The sequence below is a fragment of the Homo sapiens genome, chromosome 12 (genome assembly GCF_000001405.40).
Source record: "Homo sapiens chromosome 12, GRCh38.p14 Primary Assembly".
Classification (NCBI taxonomy): Eukaryota; Metazoa; Chordata; class Mammalia; order Primates; family Hominidae; genus Homo; species Homo sapiens.
Window position 1 is genome coordinate 42,196,962 of NC_000012.12, and position 25,071 is coordinate 42,222,032.

Sequence of the window (25,071 nt, forward strand, 5' to 3'; positions counted from 1 at the left end):
AGGAGGGTATCAAGTAACCACCACCTGAGAAGGCAGTGTCTGTTTTGTTCACTTCTCAGAAAGTACTTCACATTTCATTGTCCTCAGTAAATGTTTAGTGATGAGCTTAAAAGGGGAATTTTTTCGAAAATTAGTGTCATGACAACAGATAGAACAAACTAGAGCGCAGAAAATACAAGTAAGAAAATTATTACAGTGCTCCTTTGCTCTAACCCCAGCCTGCTGTTTAGCAAGTTGTTAGCTTGTTAGCAGTCACTGCTGCCACGTGCTGCCCAGTGTTCTTTCTAGACTGGTGTTCTTCCTTTGGCTATGAACCCTCCTCTAACTCAAAAATTTGTCCAACACCCCAGTGACCACAATTAGCAGCTATCAGCTTTCACCTAGCTAGGGGCAATGAAGTTAAATAGAATGTGTGATCACAGTGGATGGGAGAATAAGAAGAATATTCTTTGCTTCACTTCAACTCCAAGCCAGGAACTTTATTGCTAATTCCATATCCTGCCACTGCTAATTCCACACTATATTCTCAGGGGTAAGTAACAGCTAAACGCTGCACTAACTACGTAGGGAAATGCCCAATAATAATATGTATGCCCAGATAACAGGGTTGGGAAGAACTAAAATTGCATGTGAGATTCCGCTGGAATAGAGGTGGTGTAACAAAGAGGTAGGCTGAGAAAAACTAGACACTCAGAATGGGTGTAGAAATTAAACAATAATCAACATAAGAAAACATGTAACCCGAAAAACCTCACAATCTTAACATTTATATAATCAGACTCCAAATAATCTTACCTTACAAGAGTAAAGTCTGAGAGGATTTGAAATAAATTATAGAAAATTTGGCTGCTATTGGGATACATGGATAACTAGTATTAGAAGTTATAAACTCAATTACTGAAAATAATCTTCTAAACTGTCCCTCATCTAGGACAGATGAAAGCAACAGACTATCAAAATATTAAGTCACATATGTTATACCTTGGTATACCAAACTAGATATGGTTCTACTTTGCAATATGTTCACTCTCAAATAGTATCTACTAGGAAAAAAAGTTAAAAAAAAATCAGTTAATTTGAAAACCTCTAAGCAATTAGTATCTAGGGAAAGCATATCCAATCCCCATAGAGTGAAATGTTGGGCCTCACCTTATAAAAAAAAAAGTCATCATGTAAGGAATCTTTCTGGTTCAGAGTAATGACTTTAAAGCAAAAAAGGAGAAGTTAGTGGCCTTTCCTTAGGGAGATGATGATAATTATAATCCTACCTACTCTAGCCCTCATAGAGGATCTGCTTTTTATCAGAGCTGATATTCTGATTAAAAACTTATCAGAATGAAGCCAGGCACAGTGGCTCATGCCTATAATCCCAGCACTTTGGAAGGCTGAGGCAGGTGGATCACTTTGAGCTCAGGAGTTTGAGACCAGCCTGAGCAACATGGTGAAACTCTGTCTCTACAAAAAAATACAAAAATTGGCCAAGTGTTGATGGCTGACACCTGTAATCCCAGCTACCTGGGAGGCTGAGGTGCAAGAATTGCTTGAGCCCAAGAAGCGCAGGTTGCAGTGAGCTGAGATCGTACCACTGCACTCCAGCCTGGGCAATACAGCGAGACCCTGTTTCAAAACAAAACAAAAGTTTATCAGAATGAAACATCACATTTTATCTAAAGAAATTAAGTAGATCTAGGTATCAGGGAACACTTATGGAAAGCCCTAAATGCTCTGTAAAATTCCGAAATGGAGAGCGGGGTTTCAGACTACAATTGATTAATAGTTAAGATAAGAGCCCACGAACAAGTGAAGCAATAAAAGAAGAAAAGACATCTGAGGTGCCTTTATTGAAGAGTAACAGCAGAATTACATAACACCAAAGTTTTCTCAAATGCTCTAAGTCTGTGCTGTTCAATACAGCAACTACATGTGGGTACTGAGCACTTAAATGTGGCTAGTTCAAGTTAAGATGTGCTGTAAATGTAAAATATACCCTGATTTTGAATACTTCATATGAAAAAAAGACTTTACAGTGCAATTCTAAACTAGCTGTGTTTAATTTCATGTGACTATTTTAACATTTTTGTTGAATTTAATATTGTTTGTTCCTTTAGTATTAATTTCCTCTTGGGTACATCTTCAACAAGATGATTTTAAGGTGAAAAACAGTGACAGCTTACCAGACTGTCCAAAAAAGAGAATGACCCAAATTTCTAGGCAGAGGCTTGAGCCAGCAGGATTGTTCCACCAAATGGTAACCAGGCTCTCTTCCTGTTATCTCTGGCAAAAGGGTTACAGAGTAAGAAAGAAACACTATGTACACATGGAACAGAATTTGACCAATAGTTTAAATCCATCAAACATAATAATATACTTTGTTTCAGGATTTACTCAATTACAAGTGTTAAAACTTTAAAAAGTGACATAAACATTGTTCACTATGATTTATTCAACTTTATCCTTTCTCAGTAATCTTTAGATATTTAAATTCACTCTGTTGGGAGGATCACACATACATGGGACTCCAATTTACCACCAAAAAATCCACACACCTTTCTCACTAGGATGAAATGAAATAGTACCATTACTTTTTATGCAGTACCATAACAGATTTCAAAAGGCACTGGAATTCTCACATTATAAACACTAATACCATCCAGAAACAGTCTATGGTCCTAACAGGAAACTTGAAGAAAATGTGGTTTTAGGGAATTAAGAATTTCAAAATACAGAACATAACAGTTTCACAAGCTAGCACTAACCAAAGACACAGAATACGGTAATACTGACTGAGAAAACCAACTGTACTATTCTAATATTAAAAGACTATTAGCTTAAAAAAAAAAGTATTAGACTCAGCACAGTTAAAAATAAAATAGATTTTTGGGACCCAACATTTCCTACAGATTAAAACATTACTCAAGTCAGAGTTCTTTGGCACATAACAATTCAAGGTTATACAGTGTTCTCAGTCAAATTACCTTAGTGCCTGACAACCAATGGAATCAATGGAAGACATCTCAAATAGTTTAAGGAGAACTTTTGGGTTAAGATGCTTTAATTTGAGAGTGACATCTGAAAGTGCATCAGTTATGCATTCAAACATCTCTAGGAGTTTACTAAGCAAAAGGCATTACACTAAATTTTGGAGACAAAATAGTGAAGAAGCTATAACATCTGACCATTACAGAGTTTACACTCTGGTAGTTTCGTAAAATAATAGAAGTGGGATCTTCATCAGTATTTCACTGCCTGCTTCCCGTGCTCCAAATCAAGACATTTCCTCCTTCTCCTATTTGTATTTGGAGGGAAAGTGACAAGGATAGAGAAACAAGGAAGAAAACAGATTTGCATGTATCAACTGAATCAAAATTATTTTCCTTGTCTCTTTATCTGTAAAGCTGAACTCCTTAAAGAGAGAGGCTGAAAACTATTCACCTTCTTATCCCTAGCACCTAGTGCTTATCTGCTGCTCCACTACATCAGAACCAAGCCAATCTCTTTTTCTACTATACACCAGTATCAAGAATAAATGAAGATTAAAACAACAAAGGTCAATCTTTCCAGTGCTTCTTTTTGCAAAAATAAGCACATACCTATATTCCATATAAGTATTTTAAAAGCTATACAGCAATATACATCTCCTTTAAGGAAAAGCATACAGTTCCATAAAGCTAGTTTCCTTTCACCATCATCAGTGTATCTCCCTCACCTTGCAATGACATCCAGAGGCAACCACTATCATAAGTGTGGGTAAATTAGATCACATTGTACACATCATTCTGAAATGAACTTTTCCTTATATTTATGAGGTATCTCAATATTCATACACATCAAAAGGTAGCATGGTATAGTGGACTCTGAAGCCAGACAACTTAGGTTCAAATCCTAACTTCAAATCTTGGCTCTGCTATTTACTAGCTATGAGAGTGAGTAGGTTATTTACCCCTCTATATTTCAGTATTCCCATACGCAAAATGAAGATAATGATAGTACCTCTTTCTGACTTTTCATGAGGATTACAACAGTTAAGATTCATAAAGGGCTTAAAACAATACAGAACCTAGACACAGAAAGTACAAGGAGTTTCTTAAGTTGAAATAAATACTAATTAATGATAATAGCCTAAATATAGATGTAGGTAATTCTCCATTGTATAACTATTCTATATCTTATTTATCCATGCCTTCCTACTGACAGGCATTTAGATTATTTTTTCCAAATGAATATCCATGTACATTCCTCCTTGGGCAACTGTTCAAGTTTCTCTAGACTAATACCTTGAATAGTAATCAACTGCTAGATAACAGAGTATGCACATTTTCAACTGTATGAGTAACATCCCATCCTAAGCTTTGCAATCTAATGGGTGAAAATTGATAGCTCGTACGTTTTCAACTGCACTTCCCTACAAATGAGACTAAGCATCTTTTCAGTTCATTAGCCATTCCAATTCCATTTCCTCTGCTGCTAATTGCCTTTATATCCATTGTTCATTTTATGTGTATCATCTTATTCTTTTGATCTTTATATAGTCTGGACACAAATCCACCGAATATTAAAGACATTGTGTGTGTCTCCTCCTAGGTATGTCGCATATCTTTTAGTTTGGTTTATAATGTCTTTTTTGTTGCTGTTGCTGTTGTTGTTGTTGAGCCCAGGCTGGAGGGCAGTGGCACAATCTTGGCTCACTGCAACCTCCACCTCCTGGATTCAAGCAATTCTAGTACCTCAGGTTTCTGAGTAGCTGGGACTACAAGCATGTGCCACCACGCCTGGCTAATTTTTGTATTTTTTGTAGAGACAGGGTTTCACCATGTTGATCAGGCTGGTCTTGCACTCCTGACCTCAAGTGAACCATCTGCCTTGGTCTCCCCAGATTGATGGCATTACAGGTATGAGTTACCACACCCAGCCTGATGTCTTTTATTAAACTCAAGTTTTCCTTTTTGAGGCAACAAAATCATTTACCCTTGATGTCTTTAACCTTGATGGTTCATTCTTCTTTTCCTGACTTGTTAAAGATCTTCCATATCCTAAAGTTGCATACTCATCTATACTATCCTCTTTTTAAAAAAGTTTTTCACGTGTATTATTTAATTCAACTGGAATTTATTTTCACGTATTGCTTGAAGCAGAGATCTAGTTTCCCCCCCCATCTAGAAAACCAATTCGACAGTCTACTTTTTCTCTCCCTCCCGCCAAGGAATGCCATTTCTAGCCTTCACCAATGTTCCAAATATGTATGAATCCATTTCTGAACTCTCTATTAGTTTGTCTTTTCCTGTACTAATACTATACTTCAAGTGCCATAATTTTTTTAACAGAGGTACTTACATAAAGCATACAAATACTGAATGTACAGCTTGACCTTTAAATACATATACTCCTGTGTGTGATCCAGCTCAAGCCAAACTATTAACATTCCTCATGCTCCAGGAGGCTCCCTCACGATCCTTACCAATCAGTACCATGCTTCCAAGATGACCACAATTCTCATCTCTATCACTATAGATTATTTCTACTTGTTTTTGAGCTTGCTATAAATGAAATCATACAATACGTAATCCTTGTGTCTCACTAATTTCATTCAACATTAAGTCTGGGAGAGAGTCATCCCATGTTATGCATAACAGTTTGTTCTTTGTCATTGTATATAGTATTTCAATCTAAATAGCATAACTTTTATTTCTATTTTTTGAGATGGAGTGTCGTTCTTGTCTCCCAGGTTGGAGTGCAATGGCATGATCTCGGCTCACTGCAACCTCCGCCTCCCAGGTTCAAGCAATTCTCCCACCTCAGCCTCCCAAGTAGCTGGGATTACAGGCACATGCCACCATGCCCAGCTAATTTTTGTTTTTAGTAGAGATGGGGTTTCACCATGTTGGCCAAGCTGGTCTTGAACTCCTGACCTAAGGTGATTCACCCGCCTCCGCCTCTCAAAGTGCTGAGATTACAGGCATGAGCCACCATGCCCGGGGCTAAATACCATAATTTTTAAATTCATCTTGACATCCAACAGAGCAAGTTCCTCCTCATTCTTTTTCTTCTTCCAAAACTATCTTGGTTATTCTTGAACCTTTAATTTTGCACAGGAAGGTCATTTTCCACAAAAAAAAAAAAAAATCCTACTGGGATTTTTGTCTGAAACTACATAAAATTCACAAAGTAACTTTTCAGTAATATTTATTACTAAATAAATTTTAACTTCCCACCCAAAAATATAGTATATCCTGCCTTTTATTCATGTCTAATTTTATGTCCTTCAATAAAATGTTGGGTACTATATTGAATTTCATATAAAGGAGATACTTTTTATTTTCTAATTGGCTATTGCTAGTTTGAATGCTGACCTTGTATCCAGCAACGCTGAATTATTTTATTAATACAAACAGTACTTTCATTTCTTTTAATATTTCTAGGGAGCATCTCATCTCATTTCTGTTCCTTTCCAATCCTTTTGGATTTTCTTTCTTTTTTGCGTATTGATAGAGATATATCTGTCTTACCCTTGGCTTTAATGAGAATGTTTCCAAAGTTTCACTATTAAGCATGATGCTTTCTATTTGAAAGGTAGCCTTTACTGTAAGAAAAAAAAAGCTCATTTCTGTTCATAGTGTAAGAGTGGTTTTTTAAAACTTTAATGGGTATTGAGTTTTAACATATAGTTTTACTAAATTTATCTAGATTTTTTCCTAAATTTTCTTATAAATTGATACAATTTTCAAATATTGAACTGTCCTAAACTCCTATCCCAATTAAAATTTTTATGTCTGTGTTCATAAGTAAGACTGAATGTAATATATTTTCCCTTGTATAGTCTTTCCATTCTAGATTTAAATGCTAAACTTGCCTGATAAACAGGTAGGGTAACTTTCCCTCTTTTTCTGTTCTCTGAGTCAATTTGCATAAGATTGGGATTAGCTGTTCCGCAAAAGCATATCTAAAATTATAATTACAAATATCACCATTAAAACTATTCCTTCATACTTGAGATGCTGAGGAGGGAAATTGCTTGAGGCCAGTTTGAAGCTGCAGTACACTATGATCATGCCTGTGAATAGCCACTGCACTGCACTACAGCCTCAACAGCACAGCAAGACCCCATCTCTAAAAAAACCAACCAAACAAAAAAAAATCTATCCCTTCTGACACCACTTCACACAAACTAGAAAGGCAATAATTAAAAAGATAATGAAAAGCATTGGTGACATTACAGAAAAGTGTGAACCTTTGTACACTGCTGGTGGGAAAATAAAATGATGCAGCCACTTTGGAAAAAAGTCTTGCAGTTCCCCAAAAGTTTAAACACGAAGTATCACACGACCCAGCAATTTCACTCCTAGGTATATATAGTCAGCGCTCCATATCCATGGGTTCTGCATCCATAGATTCAACCAATTGCAGATTGAAAATATGTGGGGGGAAAAGTTGTGCCTCTACTATGTACAGACTTTTTTCCCTTGTCATTATTCTCTAAGCAATACAATATAACAACTATTTACATAGCACTTGGGTTATATTAGATATTAAAAGTAATCTAGAGATCATGTAATGCATATGGGAGAATATGCATAGGTTATATGCAAATACTGTGGCATTTTTATGTCAGAGGCTTAAGCATCTGAGGGAAGTCCTGCAAACAACACAGGACTATAATAGTTCACAGAAGACTATTCATAATAATCAAAAAGTGCAAAACAATACAAACATCCATCAACTGATAAATGAATAAACAAAATGTGGTATATCCACATACGATGATGTATTATTATTTGGCTATAAAAAAGAATGAAGTGTACTGACATATGCTACAATGCGGATAAACCTTAAACACATGCTAAGTGAAAGAAATCAATCCCTCCCAAAACACATGTTGTATAATTCCATTTTATGAACTGTCCAGAACAGGCCAATCTACAGAAATAAAAGGAAGATTAGTAGATGCCTAAGGATAGAGGGTTAGGAGAGATGAAAATGTTCTAAAAATGACTATAGTAATTCTTGGCAAAACTCTGTAAAAATACTAAAACCTACTGAATTGTACATTTTAACCAGGTAAATAATATGGTATGTGAATATCTCAATAAAGTTGTTATTAAAAAAAAAAAAACCACCTATTCCTCTTGGGGAAATTTATTACAGCTTCAATTTCTTTAATGGTTTTTGGTTTCTTTTTCTTGTATAGACAAATTTGAAAAAAAAATTCACTAGAAAATAAAACTCATTTTTAAAATTTATATACATATAAATTATTAGCGATTTCTTATAATTTTAAAAATCACCATTATAGTTGTACTTATACCTCTTTTTTAAATTTGACTATCAGTCTCATCTATTTTTCTTGGGTATTTCCGGAATCAACTGCAAACAACCAGCTTTGACTGATCACGACATTGTTTTTCTTGCTGCTGCTTCTTCTCTTTTTTTTTTTTTTTGAGACGGAGTCTCGCTCTGTCACCCAGGCTGGAGTGCAGTGGCACAATCTCAGCTCACTGCAACCTCCACCTCCTGTGTTCAAGCAATTCTCTGCCTCAGCCTCCTGAGTAGCTGAGATTACAAGTGCCTGCCATCATGCCTGGCTAATTTTTGTATTTTTAGTAGAGACAGGCTTTCACCATCTTGGCCAGGCTGGTCTTGAACTCCTGACCTCATGATCCACCCGCCTCGGCCTCCCAAAGTGCTGGGATTACAGACGTGAGCCACCGTGCCCGGTCATTGCTGATTATTTTCTAGTTCACCAAATTCTGTTTTCATTTTTATTATTTCCTCTTCTTCCTTTGGCTCTACTCTTTTTTTAGTTTTTTAAATTGAAGAGCTGGCTCATTTATTTTCAATCTTTCAATCTAATACATTCATTAAAGATTATAAATTTATCCCCAAGTACCATTTTTGTGCATCCCTCAAATTTTGATACAACACTTTTGTTGTGATTTAGTTCTAATTATTTTGTAATTTCCATTTTTTTAATTCTTGAAAATTCTTAATCATTTTTCCTTTAATATTGCTTCTCCACTCCTCTGTGTATGCTCTCTTCTAAAACTCCAATTAGACCTATATTGGAACTGCTCAATCTATCCTCTAAGTGTCATCTTTTCTTCCATATTTTTCACCTCTTCATTTTTCTGCATTTCTCTGTGCTTGTCCGGAGGAGTACTCATTTCTTTCTTCAAATCAGTAACTTCTCTCTTTAGCTGTGTCATATCTTCTATTTTACCCATTTATTGAGTTATTTTATTACAAGCTATATTTTTCAAGATTTTAATTGGTTATTTTACATAAATATTTATTGTTTCTGAAGTAACTGTTCTTGTTCAATTATAATGCAATATGCTCTTAGTTAAAAAAAAAAAAAAAAAAAAGTGACGTCTGGCTGGGCGCAGTGGCTCACGCCTGTAATCCCAGCACCTTGGGAGGCTGAGGCGGGCAGATCACCTGAGGTCAGGAGTTCGAGACCAGCTTGGCCAACATGGCAAAACCCCATTTCTACTAAAAATACAAAAATTAAGTGGACGCGGTGGTGCACACCTGTAGACCTAGCTACTCGTGAGGCTGAGGCTGGAGAATCGCTTGAACCCAGGGGGTGGAGGTTGAAGTGAGCCGAGATAGCGCCACTGCACTCCAGCCTGGGAGACAGAGTAAGACTCCATATTAAAAAAAAAAAAAAAGTAACTGAAATTTTAAGCTAAATCACCTTAGACAAACTGTTCTTTGAAAAGTTCTCCATTATAAATCACTTCTTTAATGACAAAAAAAAAATCACTTTTTAGGAATTCTCTTGGCTGCTATTCTGCCAAATGTTATCCCACTGTGCCTACCTGCTTCAAGGCATGAAAAGTTCTATTATTCCCATTTTAGAATTGGAGAAATTGAAGCACAATAAAGTTCTCTTTAAAACACTTTCTCCTCATCTTTTTTTAAAATTTCAAAGCCATAGAAAAGTTGAAAGTACAATGACCCATATACCTTCTACCCAGATTCAAAATTGTTAACATTTACAACGTTTGCTTTACCTTTTTTCTCTCTCTCTCCATATACTTGCACACACCACACCCAAATATCCACACACTTTTTTTTCTGAACCCACTCCTGAGCCCAACATGATACTTCACTTGGAATATTTCAATATATTTCTCCAAAGAATAAAAGCACTCTCAATATAACGACCATATCATTCACACCAAAGAAACTATGAGATTGAACAGAATCGTACAAAGACATGCAGCAGTAGATTCAAAACTAGTATTTAAGTCATCTGACTAAATGCTCTTTATCTTGGCTTGTCTAATGATTGGACAAACTGCTTTCTGATGATTATTTAGAAGAGACAATCTGTCAAAGAGCATTTCCTTCCTTCATTTCTGAAAAGAAAGCAATAATCTTCTAAGATATTCAAACTGCAAAAATCAAGGATACTGTATTTCCACTTTGTTTTCTAACACTAAATCTTTAAGTGAAGCTACTCTATACTCTCAAAACTATATACTCTTTTTATATGCCACAAGATAAATTATTAATAATATTATACTAAATAATTAGAATTTCACTATACCAGCTTTTAAAGGGAAAAATTGTTTTTAAGAAAAAAATATGGTACAAATAAGATTGATGAGCCAAATGAAACTGCTTTATACATTAAAAAACTGGTAAGTGTAGGCTGGGCACGGTGGCTCATGCCTGTAATCCCAGCACTTTGGGAGGCCGAGGCGGGCAGATCACAAGGTCAGGCGATCAAGACCATCCTGGCTAACACGGTGAAACCCCGTCTCTACTAAAAATACAAAAATTAGCCGGGCGTCGTGGCGGGCGCCTGTAGTCCCAGCTACTTGGGAGGCTGAGGCAGGAGAATGGCGTGAACCCAGGAGGCAGAGCTTGCAGTGAGCCGAGATCGTGCCACTGCACTCCAGCCTGGGCGACAGAGCGAGACTCTGTCTCAAAAAGACAAACAAAAAACTGGTAAGTTTATTCATAAATCTATATGAAAAGCTAATATTTCAGTGGGGATGATTTAATCTCAGTCACTGATGTTAGGAACTAGGTAATATAAACCATAAAATCCTATGCTTGCTCTCAAAGAACCTAAAAACCCAGTTTAAGAGTTGCATATTTTTATTACACAACATACCTGTGTAAAAAATAAAATAATAAATTTTTTAAAAAGAGCTGTATATTTTTAAAAAATAGCAATATGGCCAGGCGCCATGGCTCATGCCTGTAATCCTAACACTTTGGGAGGCCGAGGCGGGCAGATCACTTGAGGTCAGAAGTTCAAAACCTGGCTAACATGGTGAAATCCTGTCTCTACTAAATATACAAAAAAGCTAGCCAGGCCTGGTGGCAGATGCTTGTAATCCCAGCTACTTGGGAGGCTGAGGCAAGGGAATTGCTTGAACCTGGGAGGCGGAGGTTGCAGTGAACGGATATCATGCCACTGCACTCTAGCCTGGGCGATCGAGTGAGACTCTGTCTCACTTTATTTTAAAAAATAAAAATTAAATTAAATTAAATTAAAATTTAAAAATAGCAATACAACCTAAAGCTAATATTTAAGGGCTAAACTGTATCATTCAGCTAACTATAACCACAAAAATGGTTAAGATCAATCTATAGCCAAACACTAGCCAATAAGGGTATTAACTGGGTGCTGCTAAGGTACTGTATTAAATAAATTCCATGAATTAATAGTCTTACAGACATCCCACTTTTCTACTGAAGAACTGAAGATAACAAATATACTAGCATAAAAGGACTGATAAAAGGGGTAAGACTTGCCTCAACTCTAAAGTACAGAAATCAGAATGCAGAAAAGGCTATCTGAAGAAAGTGAGAAACCACAAACCAAGTGTAAATATAACTATGCAGGTAAGAACAAACAAAAGTTTCAAACTGAAGAAATTAAGGCTAGATAAACAGAATGGAATTGGATAGCAGGAGGCCTCAAGTATCCAGCAAACGGATGAAAGTTTTGTAAAACAGCTATAAGCAGGACACCACTACGAGCTCTTTATATTTAAAATGCCTTTTTAGAAATAGAACCTAGTAATAATACAAAATGAGTGGGAGAGAAATGAGAAGCAAGAAACTATATAGTAACATTTACAAATATCAATTCAATAAGTTATTTGGTACCTGAGGAAATCAGGCAGCTCAAACTGAACCAATTCTGTCACAATTCACATCAAGTATTTTCATTACAAACAAGGAAGCGGTAAATAGACTTGCAACATATCCTATATTATTTTTCAAATATACTTTCAATGAAGTTCAAGATACATTGAAAACTGTCATTAAGAAGTGCTAGGAAAAAAAAAAAAAAGTGCTAGTCAGGCCAGGAGCAGTGGCTCACACCTGTAATCCCAACACTTAGGGAGGCCAAGGTGGGCAGATCATTTGAGTTCATGAGTTCGAGATCAGCCTGGGCAACATGGCAAAACCCCATCTCTATAAAAAATAAAAAAATTAGTCAAGCATGGTGGTGTGCAACTGTAGTCCCAGCTACTCAGGAGGCTGAAGTGGGAGGATGGCTTGTGCCCAGGAGGCAGAAGTTGCAGTAGGCCAAGATCACACCACTGCACTCTAGCCTGGGCGATAGAGCCAGACTTTGTCTCAAAAAAAAAAAAAAAAAAAAAAAAAAGTGCTAGACAATTAATATAAAACTATCCTTGCTGGTCAGTACTACTGTGCCAAAAGAAATTCACCAAATATGACATCTGCATAAATTTTACAATATAAGTATTTACTTCAAAAAAGCAACATCATAAAGAAATGTACACAAGAATTCAACATTTGGCTTCCCTATATTGCTTTAGAACAACTAAACCATTTACCAAAGCCAGTAAATGCATAATTTTTTGTTTTTTGAGACAGAGTTTCGCTCTTGTTGCCCAGGTTGGAGTGCAATGGCACAATCTCAGCTCACCGCAACCTCTGCCTCCTGGGTTCAAGCGATTCTCCTGCCTCAGCCTCCCGAATAGCTGGGATTACAAGCATGCACCACCATGCCCGGCTAATTTTCTATTTTTCGTAGAGACAGGGTTTCTCCATGTTGGTCAGGCTGTTCTCGAACTCCCGACCTCAGGTGATCCACCCGCCTTGGCCTCCAAAAGTACTGGGATTACAAGTGTGAGTCAGCAAGCCCGGCCAACTAAATGTATAATTTTTTAGAAGCAGCTATTACGTAAATAAGATACTTTAAAATTAATGTCATACTTTTTACTCATACACCCATTAATAGCTCAGTATTTACTGTCCACACAATAATTTCCATAATCCATATCAAATGTACAAAAAGAAGCTATCCCAAGTAACTTCCTTTCTTTTCAATTAAACAAACTCCTTCTCAAGGGACAAAATTTGGGGGGAAAAAAAATCTCAGGTTTGTGAAAACTAGATTACTTACCAGTAACTTGAGTTATCCTATTGGGTCTTTTCCCTCACAGATCCACCTCTCTTGCCCTTCTGTTCAGCATGAGAATCTTCCTGATGGGCATCCACTGGAACTGAGGGGGCATGCAGTACAGACGTATATGTAAGAAAGTTTGGGGGAGGGGATTTGGGAGATGCTAGAGACATGCTTCAGTGCACTTGCTTACCTTCCTGAAATTGGAAATTTCAACGGTTCCTTGGTCCTCGAGGCACTCACAATAACTTCAAACAATGTGGATCTGTGGAGATTACCCAATAGGAGAACTCCAGTTACTGGTAAGTGATCCAGCTTTTTCTTCTCTATCAGAATAAGAAGATTATTTCATTTTATTTGAGATTATTATCACACGTAGAACTACAGAAGAAAGCATAAATTCACTAGATAACTATATATACACGTATCAAAGTAAATATGGAAACAATTTGCTAAATATAATGTCAGTGGAAACTTCTCACATTATCAGAAACATAAGGAAATCATTAGAATGGTTTCATTTTAAAAAGTCTACTATAATGGCTGCTATATTTTAATATACAAAAATATCAGCCACCAGGCTATTTCATTTTGCTGAAACAATATCATTATATTTTATATTAGTACAAGAATAATTAGTTGATCAAAATCTATCATTTCTTAACTAGCCATTGTCATTAACATTCACTAGATTTTGGTATAGAAGCCACCATAGTGGACTAATAATATGTTAGAATTCAGATAAAATGCATCAATACAATTCTCATTTTATCACTCAAGTCTTTAACCAGGCCAGGCGTGGTGGCTCACGCCTGTAATCCCAGCACTTTGGGAGGCTGAGGCAAGCAGATCACCTGAGATCAGGAGTTCGAGACCAACCTGGCCAATATGGCAAAACCTCGTCTCTACTGAAAATACAAAAATTAGATGGACATGGTGGTGCATGACTGTAATCCCAGCTACTCGGGTGGCTGAGGCACGAGAACTGCTTGAACCTGGGAAGCAGAGGTTGCAGTGAGCGGAGATCGTGCCACTGAACTCCAGCCTGGATGACAGAGCGAGACTCTGTCTCCAAAAAAAAAAAAAAAAAAAAAAAAGTCATCCAGGCACAGTGGCTCACGCCTGTAATCCCAACACTTTTGGAGGCCAAGGCAGGTGGATCACCTGAGGTTGGGAGTTCAAGACCAGCCTGACCAACATGGTAAAACCCCATAACCCCATCTCTACTAAAAATACAAAAAGTAGCCAGGTGTGGTGGCATGCGCCTGTAATCCCAGCTATTAGGGAGGCTGAGGCAGAAGAATTGCTTGAACTCGGGAGGTGGAGGTCGCAATGAGCCAAGTCGTGCCATTGCACTCCAGCCTGGGCAACAGAGGGAGACTCTGTCCAAAAAAAAAAAAAAAAAAAAAGTCAGCCAGGCACGGTGGCTTGCACCTGTGATTCCAGCACTTTGGGAGGCCGAGGTGGGCGGATTAGCTGAGGTTAGGAATTCTAGACCAGCCTCACTAACATAGTGAAACCCCGTCTCTACTAAAAATACAAAAATTAGCCGGGTGTAGTGGCAGGTGCCTATAATCCCAGCTACTCAGGAGGCTGAGGCAGGAGAATAGCTTGAACCCAGAAGGCGGAGGTTGCAGTGAGCCAAGATCGTGCCTGGGAGACACAGCAAGATTTCATCTCAAAAAAAAAAAAGTCTTTAACCATTTGTCACCTATTGACACACCAAACACAAACAAAAGTATGCCAGTCATTGAAAAATATTAATAATGCTAATTATAATTTAAATACTTGTACAAAAGAAATACAGCAAATTTTAAACTTTTAAAATAATTGCCTAAAAATGGCCGTCACTGAAATAAAAACTATTTCTAATCAAAAGAAAAAAATCTCTCCAAAAGAAATTTATCTTCAAGCTCATATGAAGATATTACATTACCTTTAACTGAATACACATTAATCAATATATATTCATCATATTCATTTTAATGTGCCACAGCAGTGATGACTTCTAACACTAGTAACTACACTAGCAGGTACTAGATACAGATATATTTTAATACCCTTTACCATCATGCTTCTAAATAATCACCTCCTTCCTTCAAGAAACTTATGATTTCATGATTCTTCATTCTATGGAAACAAAGAAAGTGTATAGTTTTTCCTTTAAGAATAGTCTAGTAACTAACTCACCACTGAATAAATGAAAGAAAACAAAACAAACAAAAAATAAATGGGATAAAATGGTCTGTAAAATCATTCTACACAATCAAATTCAAAATGTAATTCTAATGAAAATCTTTTATTTCAATCCTGTTATGAGGTCATATTTGTATTTGTTAGGTTGACAACACACCTGTCAAGATTGTCAAGATCTGTGATAGATTCTTACTTAAATTTAAGATACAAATTGCCTTGGGTAAATGCATGCATTTTTCTACAAATTTGAGTTAAGTATAACAGTAATAAATCCATTCACTTTTAAATGACCCATTCAAACAGGGGTACTACACAGACCTCCATTTCTAATTGGAATAAATATCAGAAAAGGGTCATCTAGGTAACTCTGCTAGTTTACTAGACTCCTAGTCACTGGAGTAAGTACATAGCACAAAGGTCTTATATGTTTATAGTGATAAAACAGATCAAGGAGCAATAATGCAAATATTTTATCCTAATGGTATAAGCTAATATAAAAGATGTCATTAAGAGCCAGGCACGGTGGCTCAAGCCTGTAATCCCAGCACTTTGGGAGTCCAAGGCGGGCCTTTCTCTCACTGTCCAGATATCTTGCTCTGGGGCAAACAAGCTGTTATGTTCTGAGCCTATAGAAAAGAGAAGCCCACATAGCAATAAACTGATGTCTCTGGCCAACAGCCAGATGCCTGAGGCCTGACAATAGACATGTGAGTTAACTTGGAAGCAGGTGTTCTAAGGTCTGCTGACAACCACATGAGTGAGCTTGCAAATGGATCCTTCCTCAGTTGAGCCCTAAGCTGACTGCAGGCTTGTGAGAGAAAAGGTGGGAAAAAGAACAAAATTCTATTATATTATTTAAATTAATCTGACCAGATTTTGAAGCCTTACCTTACTTTTCAAGTCAATTCTTAATAGCCATCTCTAAAGTAAATAATTTCTGTGTAAAACTATTTTATAAAACAATGACAAATTTTTCCAACATCGCAAATTTCAATTGTCTCAAGCCAACTTGAGTGGCTCTAAGTGTCTCATTTTCCTTCCTTAGGGAAAGTCATCCTTTTTTATTTCCATTGAATAAATAACTTTTTAAAATAGAAATTCCTCTATTACATTTCAACATGTTCATGCAAATCATTCTGCTTTAACATAATTTCATTATCATTTTAAAAGTACATATAAACCGTAAGTACTGAAATGCCATACCTTAAAAAGTCTTCAGTGTGTGTATATTAATGACCTTTTTATGGAAACATACATCAAGGTATTAGTAACAGTAAGGTACAAACTCATTCTCTTTTATCTAATCTCAAAATTCAAACAGGGGTACTACACAGACCTCCATTTCTAATTGGAATAAATATCAGAAAAGGGTCATCTAGATAAAGGGCATTAATACGCCCCATTATCTTTCACCTAACTAGAATAGCCCAACTAGTCTTTCTATTTACACATTCCTGCAGCCTGCCAGTCCATTCTCCTTACAGAAGCCACAGAGCACTTCCACACTTAAACTCATTAAATGGCTTGTTACACTTCCAATAAAATCTCAGTGTCATATCATTTACGACTAAATTGTGATCTGGCATTTTACCCACTTGCTCACCTTCATCTGATGCCACTCACCCTCTGCCTCACTATGCACTAGTCTTTGCTCAATGTAAAACAAACTCCTAACCAAAGGGCTTTCAACTTGCCGTTAACTACAACTCTTTCACAAATACCTCCTCTTATCCTTTCCTTTGAGACAAGGTCTGGCTTTTGTCCAGGCTGGAGTGCAGTGGCACAATCTCAGCTCACTGCAACCTCCCCTTCTTGGGCTCAAGCCATTCTCTTACCTCAGCCTTCCAAGTAGCTGGGAAACCAGGCTCATGCTACCATGCCCGGCTAATTTTTATACTTTTTGTAGAGATGGGGTTTTGCCACGTTGCCCAGGCTGGTCTCGAACTCCTGAGCTAAAGTGATCCAATGGCCTCAGCCTCCCAAAGTGCTGGGATTACAGGTGTGAGCCGCCATGCCCGGCCTCCTCTTATCCTTCTGCTTTCTGATTAAATGCCACCCACTCAGAGAAGCCTCTCCTCTTCACCCATTTCAAATAATTCCTGTTGTTGCCACACTCTGCAATGATTTTTTTTTGGTATTTTTTTGTTTGCAACTTAAATTCCATGAGAGCTGGCCAGGCACAGTGGCTCACTCCTGTAATTCCAGCACTTTGGGAGGCTGAGGTGGGTGGATCACTTGAGGTCAAGAGTTCGAGACCAGCCGGGCCAACACGGCGAAACCCCTTCTCTACTAAAAATATGGAAATTAACCAGGCGTGGTGGCAGGCGCCTGCGGTCCCAGCTACTCAGGAGGCTAAGGCAGGAGAATCGTTTGAACCTGGGAGGCAGAGGTTGCAGTGAGCTGAGATGGCACCACTGCACTCCAGCCTGGGCAACAGAGTGAGACTCCTCCATCTTAAATTAAATAAATAAATAAATAAATGAATTCCATGAGAGTAAAAATGTGTCTTGTTCTCCTCTGTAACTCCATTACCTAGCCCAGCACCTGTCTCAAAATACCATTTTAATGTTTAATGAGTAATGAAAATATTTTTGAAATTCATAAGCCACTCACTGATTTTTAGTTCTAGAGTCTTGGCTACTCCTTTCTTATTCTGCCTATGTTCTAAATAACTTTGTTATTCAGCACTCCTAAAACCTGAATCTTTAGGCATTGTAAATCATATGAAATCCAGTGTAGGCTGGGTGCAATGGCTAACACCTGTAATTCCAGCACTTTGGGAGGCTGAGGTGGATCGCAAGAGCCCAGGAGTTCGAGACAAGCCTAGGCAACACAGTGAGACCTCATATCTACACAAAATTGAAATTAAAAAAAGAAAAAAAACTCCAGTGTACTTCAGAGATAGCTGTTACTTTATAGAACAAATGAAGTTTTAAAATATGTGCTGTGATTTGCTTGGCTAACCAATCATTAAAGAGTGCTATGATTCATTACTCCTAAAAACAGAAAATAAGGGTTTCTTCAAACCATACATATTCCCTCACAATTAACCATGCAATCTCCCAGGAGTTTTCAAAGCTACCATACAGTGGCAGGGCATGGTGGCTCACACCTATAATCCCAGCACTTTGGGAGGCTGAGGCAGGCAGATCACTTGAGGTCAGGAGTTCAAGACAGCCTGGCCAACATGGCGAAACCCTGTCTCTACTAAAAACACCAAAAAACATTAGCCAGGCATGATTGCACCTGTAGTCCTAGCTACTCGGGAGGCTGAGGCAGGAGAATCACTTGAAACCAGGAGGCAGAGGTTGCAGTGAGCCCAGATTGCGCCACTGCACTCCAGCAGCCTAGGCGACAGAGCGAGATTCCAGCTCAAAAAATAAATAAATAAATAAATAAATAAATAAATAAATAAATAAATAAATAAAGCTACTGTACATTTACTTACCACTTAAATTCTTGACACCAACAAGTACCCAATGTTTTGGGATTTTTTGTTGTTAATTCTATCACATTTTGTAGTTATAATCTAAAGTCATTGTTAGAGGCATAGACTTAAAGATAGATATTACTAGATAATTATATCCTTGGGAAACAAAGTTAGTTACTAACATAATTTTACTTATCTTCCTACCTACCAATATTAACCTCCTTTATTTAGTCTATAAATATAAACCAGAATTATTGTAACATGAAAAGCTGAGGACAATCACTACGCAAAAGTATTATCTTGTTACAACTTAAAAATACAAATCTAAATGCCATACTTATTAAAACAAATACTACATGGAACTTGAGAGAAAAATTAAGATTCTGTCTGATGAAAGTAAAAGCCATTGGAGATGGCTAAACACACCCCCCTCTTTTTGAAAATATCCTCTTCCCTCTGTTTCTGTATTGTTACACTCTCCTGGGTTTCTTACTCCCTATTAATTTTTTTTTCCTTCTCCATTTCTTTCTTCTTCTTTGTGGGATGCTCTTCTTCTACCACTGTAAAAAAATAAAGATGTTCCTCAAAAGTCTCTCCTAGGTCTCTTTTCTCATGGTAGGCAATCTATTCCCTCCCTGATCTGTCTTACCCACTCCTACAGCTTCAACTCAAATCATGTGTACAAATGACTATCAAATATGTATTTACAGCCCTTTTCTCCTTCCTAAGCCTTACCCAACATATCCAAACTGCTTCAGAGATCTTCCCTCTCAAATTTTCCCCAGGCACCCCAAATTCAACAAATCTATAGGCAAACTATTACCTTCCCCCAAACCTGTCTTCCTATTTGCTATCTCAGTGAGAACTAACACCACTCACTCAACTGCTTAAGCCAGAATCCTGAGATTCATCCTTGATACCTCCCCTTCACTATGACCCAACTTCCTGCCTCCCACAACCATATCCAATCAACCATCAAGTTCCACAGATCTCTCCTAAACACATCTATAATACATTCATTTCTGTCTCCCATCTGGCATTCCCCTTGTTCAGGACATTACTGCCTCTTGCCTAGACTATCAAAATGGTTTCTCTGCCTCTAGCTAAGATTCAGCAAGAAAGTAAGCATGACACAAGAGAGAATAAAATCTGTCGGCTGTGGTTTCAATCATACATTATACTGATGGTAAAAGAAAACATTTTTAAAACTGCTAATAATTGAACATGCAGGTAGCTTAGATTGATGTAAGTTCTTCTATCCAGTAAAATGGGTATAATTTTTTTTATAAGAAAATGGTTTTATTCCTAATTTTTAGTTCCCATACAGTTTACAAATACACTTTTACTCTGATAATACAGCTTTGCAACTAGCAAAGCAGTTGCGCTAACACCCATAAATATAGGTGGGGAGACAATTAACATCCACTAACATATTCCATCTAACTCACAAAATTATGAAATTATATAAATATTCCTTAAAAAACAAGAAGTGGAAAGCAGTTTAAAGCAGCAACAGAATCAGATATATAATAAAGGGGCTTTTGCAGTTCATTTTTATCAGTACCTACACAAGACACTGTGATGGGCATTGAGAATTTTAAAAATATTATTACAATTATCATTATCATTAACTAAGAAATGTGCTGAATTCATTTTATCACTTATATTTAATTACCACCAAAAAAATCACATGAATATAAATGTCAAGGAGGGGATTTAAACTGAAATGTGATAATGGGACCAATGGTACAGCCCTCAGGAAGGAAACAAATATAAAATATCTTCAATACACTGTGTAAATATATCATCACTTTTAGCAAAGAATTCTTTAAGAGTAATTGAGAGGGCATTCACTCTGACCTAGAGACAAAGGAATGCTTAGCCTTCAGAGATGAAGCCTGAGCAATCATAAAGACCATGAAATTGTGGAGGATGGGGAAGTAGAGGGCAGAAGAAACAGCATAATATATAAAATGGCACAGTGGCCTAAAAAAGACCATGACCATGCTCAGACAATCCCAACCTTGAAAACAGATGTACTCTTTAACTATGGCAAACAGTAAAAAATTCTGCTTTTACTGGCTTAATTCTTAAGTCTATATATACTGCTTACTCCTATTACACTACCAGAGTACTTTCTAGACGTTAGAACTTGCTGGTAAGGTCCAAATTTTTATGTGACAGTCTACATCAGGCTACTAGGAAACACACACACACACACACACACACACACACACACACACACACAGATGATTATCGATCTCATCAAGGCTTAGGTATTTCATGGTATTTCAGATTACTGCAGTTATAAAGCTAGGTGCACACAATTACCAACCACAATGATATGCAAGTATACATTTCCCTTTTTGACTGATGAATATGGTTTGTCTGCTCGTAAATGTTATATCTTCATGACTGTTGTTAGTATACCTTAGTGTCTATGCTTGCAAAAATGTTATTGCCTATTTTATTGTGTAAAGTGGCCTATGAATTGTTGTTTTTATCTGTTTCTCAAATAAATCCCCTTTTTAAAATGTATGTGTCTTTTAAAAAATGTATTATTTTTTCCAGAATACATTTTTGGGATTTTGACCTTTCAGGATTGTGATTTGGGGGATTTTAGACTTTAAGGATGTTGATTTTTCAGGATTTCAACATTTGAGATTATGGCATTCGGGAACCTATCTTTTGGGATTATGACTGGCTCCCAAAATAATCTTATTAAATGTTATCATAATGTATACTTTGATAGCATTATGAATTTAACATATGTTTCATCTGTAAATTATAATGCTCATTACTAATTTAATCAGTCGATTATGTAGCTCTGAGCCTTACTAATCTCGGTCCTTAAAAAAAACAAATGTGTCTAAGAAGATGAGTGGGGGGAAAAAAGGAAAGATATAGGGAAGGAGGGAGAGAGAAAGGGCTTTCAAGAAAGAAAGCTTCAAATCTCTCCTGCCACCCTACAAAACTCACTAATAGCTCTTCTTTTTGAAATGTGAGGGTAGGTAATCCAGTCACAATTAACCTAGCCTGTGCTGAACAGAATTTGAGTGGTAAAACAGGGCAGTGATTTTCCAAAAATGTTTTGCAAAACACCCTTATAAAATACAAATTAAGAGAAATCCTAATAAAATATATAATGGCATAAATGACCTGGATGAAGTGAAGTGGGCAACCACAGAGCCCCACTTGCTTGCTCCCACTGAGCCAATTCCATGAAACCTTAGGAATCCACTCAACACAATTTGAAACCACTGGGCCTCCTGAGGGACAGCCAGGTCTCGTCTACCCCAAAAAGTTTGTTACTTGATTCTAACAGGCAAACCTCTCTCCTCTTTACCCTCTTATTTCCTGAAGCCTGCTCTTTCACAGAAGGCTTCCCAAAGATGGCCTTGGATGAGCTGTATGGTTGAAGGAATGTACAGCTGTGTACAGATACTGGGAGCAGGGATAAGAGATAGGAGGTATAACAGAGAAAGCATTTTTGGACATGAGAGTTCATTAAGCTCATTCAGAGAAGTGTTTGCTAAACAGAAAGGGGGACCAGAGATATAGACACAGAGAGATGCCCACATACTCACATTCCTGTACACATATGCATGCCCAGGCACACACCCATACATACAACCCTGCCTGCACACACACATGCACACACAAAAATGTGAGGGAAAAGCTCTTTGGAAAAGGCAGCTCAAAGTGGGATGAATACCTCACACCCCGTCCACCTCATTATCTTATCCAGAAAAAATACAGCAGTGTTTCTCAAACTTTAATGTGCATATAAATAACCTAAAGATCCTGTTAAAGTGCAGGTTCTGATTCAGTAAGTCCTCAATGAGGCCTGAGATTGTACATTTCTAACAAGCTCCCAGGTGATGCTAACGCCACTGGTCTGTGGACCACACTTTGATAGCAACATCCTACATAACAACACATCTCCACATGATCTATATTATAATTGAAAAACAAAGTTCCCTGGTAAAATAAGACTGAGAACTGCTCAATTAAATAAGACAAAACAAACTGGAGCCTTCTCAGAGACTGGAGGACTTCTCAGAGACTAACTTAGAGGACCAAGATGAGGTGAGAATGGTTATGAGAAGGCCCTAAAATGGGAAAAAGTCTACTTTTTTCCCATTCTTCCAATGAGAGATACTTCAAGTTTCAATTTTAAATGCTAATACCTATGCAAAAATACAGAGTGGAAACACAACATTTTAGAAGTAGCTAACTTCTGACTGGAATGATAATATGAAAATAATCATTACTATCTTCCTCCTTATACTTCCTTAAATCTTTAATGTATACATAATACTTTTATAATCATGAGAAAAAGAATTATCTTAAGGAAAAAATAAAACTCCATCCCCCACACCCAGATTCTTTACATTAGCATTTAGAACAATTACTTTATTCAGACTTACATAAAACATAAAAGATTTTCTAGTAAAGGAAGAACTGTTGGTGAAGTAAAGAATGAAGCAATCATAACATTTTAGAAGGTAGCCTAGAAATAAATATTAGTGAAGAGACTTTGGGCTGTGGGGGAACAAAAGACAAATAGCAAAAATGGATGGAACAAAGAGGAAAGAAGACCAAAATCACTTTGCCTACTCCACAAATGCACCAAGAGCTTTACCTGTTGAGCAGCTACCTCCCTGGCATAAAAATCATTTACTTGCTGCCATTCTGGGTTGACTGTCCCTAGTATGTTCTATAAAAGTAAAGTATGTTGTGCAAAGGAACCCTGATCAGACTATAAAACATGTAAAGATGAAATTGTTTAATTCATATGTCTAAAAATTGTCAGGGGGCTATACAAACTTTACACCATACACACACATCCAGTCATTCACACATTCACATATTATCAAAGTGATTATATTACTATCAGTGATTCTTAATATTTGTATCACAAATAAAAGAGAGAAATAATACTTACTGGTATTTCTCCTGAGAAACACTATGATATCAAAGAAGTGAGGATATACAGCAAAATAAAAGTTGTTATAAAAGACATAAAAATGAAGTTTGTTAACATTTGTACTTCAAAAATATTAGTAAATATAGGAAAAAAGACAGCCATTTTATTCTTTATTCACCATACTATTAGCCTAGATTTTTAACATTTAGTTCTTAAGTTCTCATATTATTTATAAGTAGTAGGTCTAATGTTAGAAACTGTCAAGAGGTATACCACTAGATCTAGGTATAGGCAAAATTATAAGAAGAAATCTTTAAGAAGTTACTTGCTAGCAAATTTAATTAAATGCTACCACAGCAAGGTTATAAAATGGGACTGGAGGCTAGGCATGGTGGCTCACACCTGTAATCTCAATACTTTGGGAGGCTGAGGCAGGAGGGGTGCTTGAGGCAAAGTTTGAGACCAGGCTGGACAACATAGCAAGACCTCATCTCTACAAAAAATTTTAAAATTACCTGGGTGTGATGGAGCACGCCTGTAGTCCTAGCTACTTGGGAGGTTGAGCTTGAGCCCAGGAGTTTGAAGTTATAGTAAGCTATGATCGCACCACTGCACTCCGGCCTGGGTGACAGAGCAAGACTCTATCTCTTTAAAAAAAATTTTTTTTAAGTGACTGGAAATTCAGATTTCTAAATCTCACACTGATCAACTACTGACCCAAGTCACAATACTTCCAGCCTGTTTTCTTACCTATCAAGAGGATACGAGGCTAGAGCCATGAGTTTCAACAAATAGAAAAGACCTCACCCAGCAGATTGCTAAATATTATGTTAGTTCCCCAAGTTCCACAATTAAGAATCCTCCAAACTTAGCTGAAAATCCCAACAAGAAGGTTTTGAAAACAATAGTAGTCTCAGCCCATTTCAAAAGTTTAATACAAGCCTCTCTACTTACAATCTCTCAAGATCTTCCCTCTGAAGACGCTCTTATCTGTCTATCATTAAGGTTTCAAGTAATAAAAACTTGTCTGGCTCAGGATGTGACTAAACACTCTAGAAACACTTCAAAGGTTCCTTTTAGCTCTAAAATTCTCAGTAATTCTATAATTTCCCACAATAAACA

The 25,071-nt window shown here is 37.0% G+C and overlaps 1 protein-coding gene across 18 annotated transcripts in view, besides 1 other annotated feature; it reads right to left on the bottom strand.

Moving 5' to 3' along the window:
- Positions 1-25,071, bottom strand: part of YAF2 (YY1 associated factor 2) — an 81,145-nt gene that overhangs the window by 39,858 nt on the left and 16,216 nt on the right. For 2 of the 18 annotated variants that reach the window (NR_135140.2, XR_944467.4), the window contains exons 3-5: positions 15,483-15,523; positions 13,587-13,719; positions 13,394-13,493 (exon numbers count right to left, since the gene is read on the bottom strand). The exons of 3 other annotated variants lie outside the window; for them this stretch is intronic. Coding sequence is in view for 8 of the 15 variants with exons in the window: in XM_017018670.3 (XP_016874159.1) it covers positions 13,457-13,493; positions 13,587-13,719; positions 15,483-15,523 (211 nt within the window). In the remaining 7 variants the exon portion in view is untranslated. Of the gene's footprint in view, positions 1-2,174; positions 2,275-13,388; positions 13,494-13,586; positions 13,720-15,460; positions 15,524-25,071 lie in introns of those variants that run through there. 13 more of the 18 variants (NM_001320080.2, XM_047428049.1, NM_001190979.3 and 10 more) reach the window with 10 other exon arrangements.
- Positions 19,843-20,043: a silencer, noted in NCBI's record as "peak1686 fragment used in MPRA reporter construct". NCBI's record gives its function as "represses an SCP1 promoter by STARR-seq MPRAs in K562 erythroleukemia cells {active_cell/tissue: K562}" and the evidence as "EXISTENCE:reporter gene assay evidence [ECO:0000049][PMID:32103011]".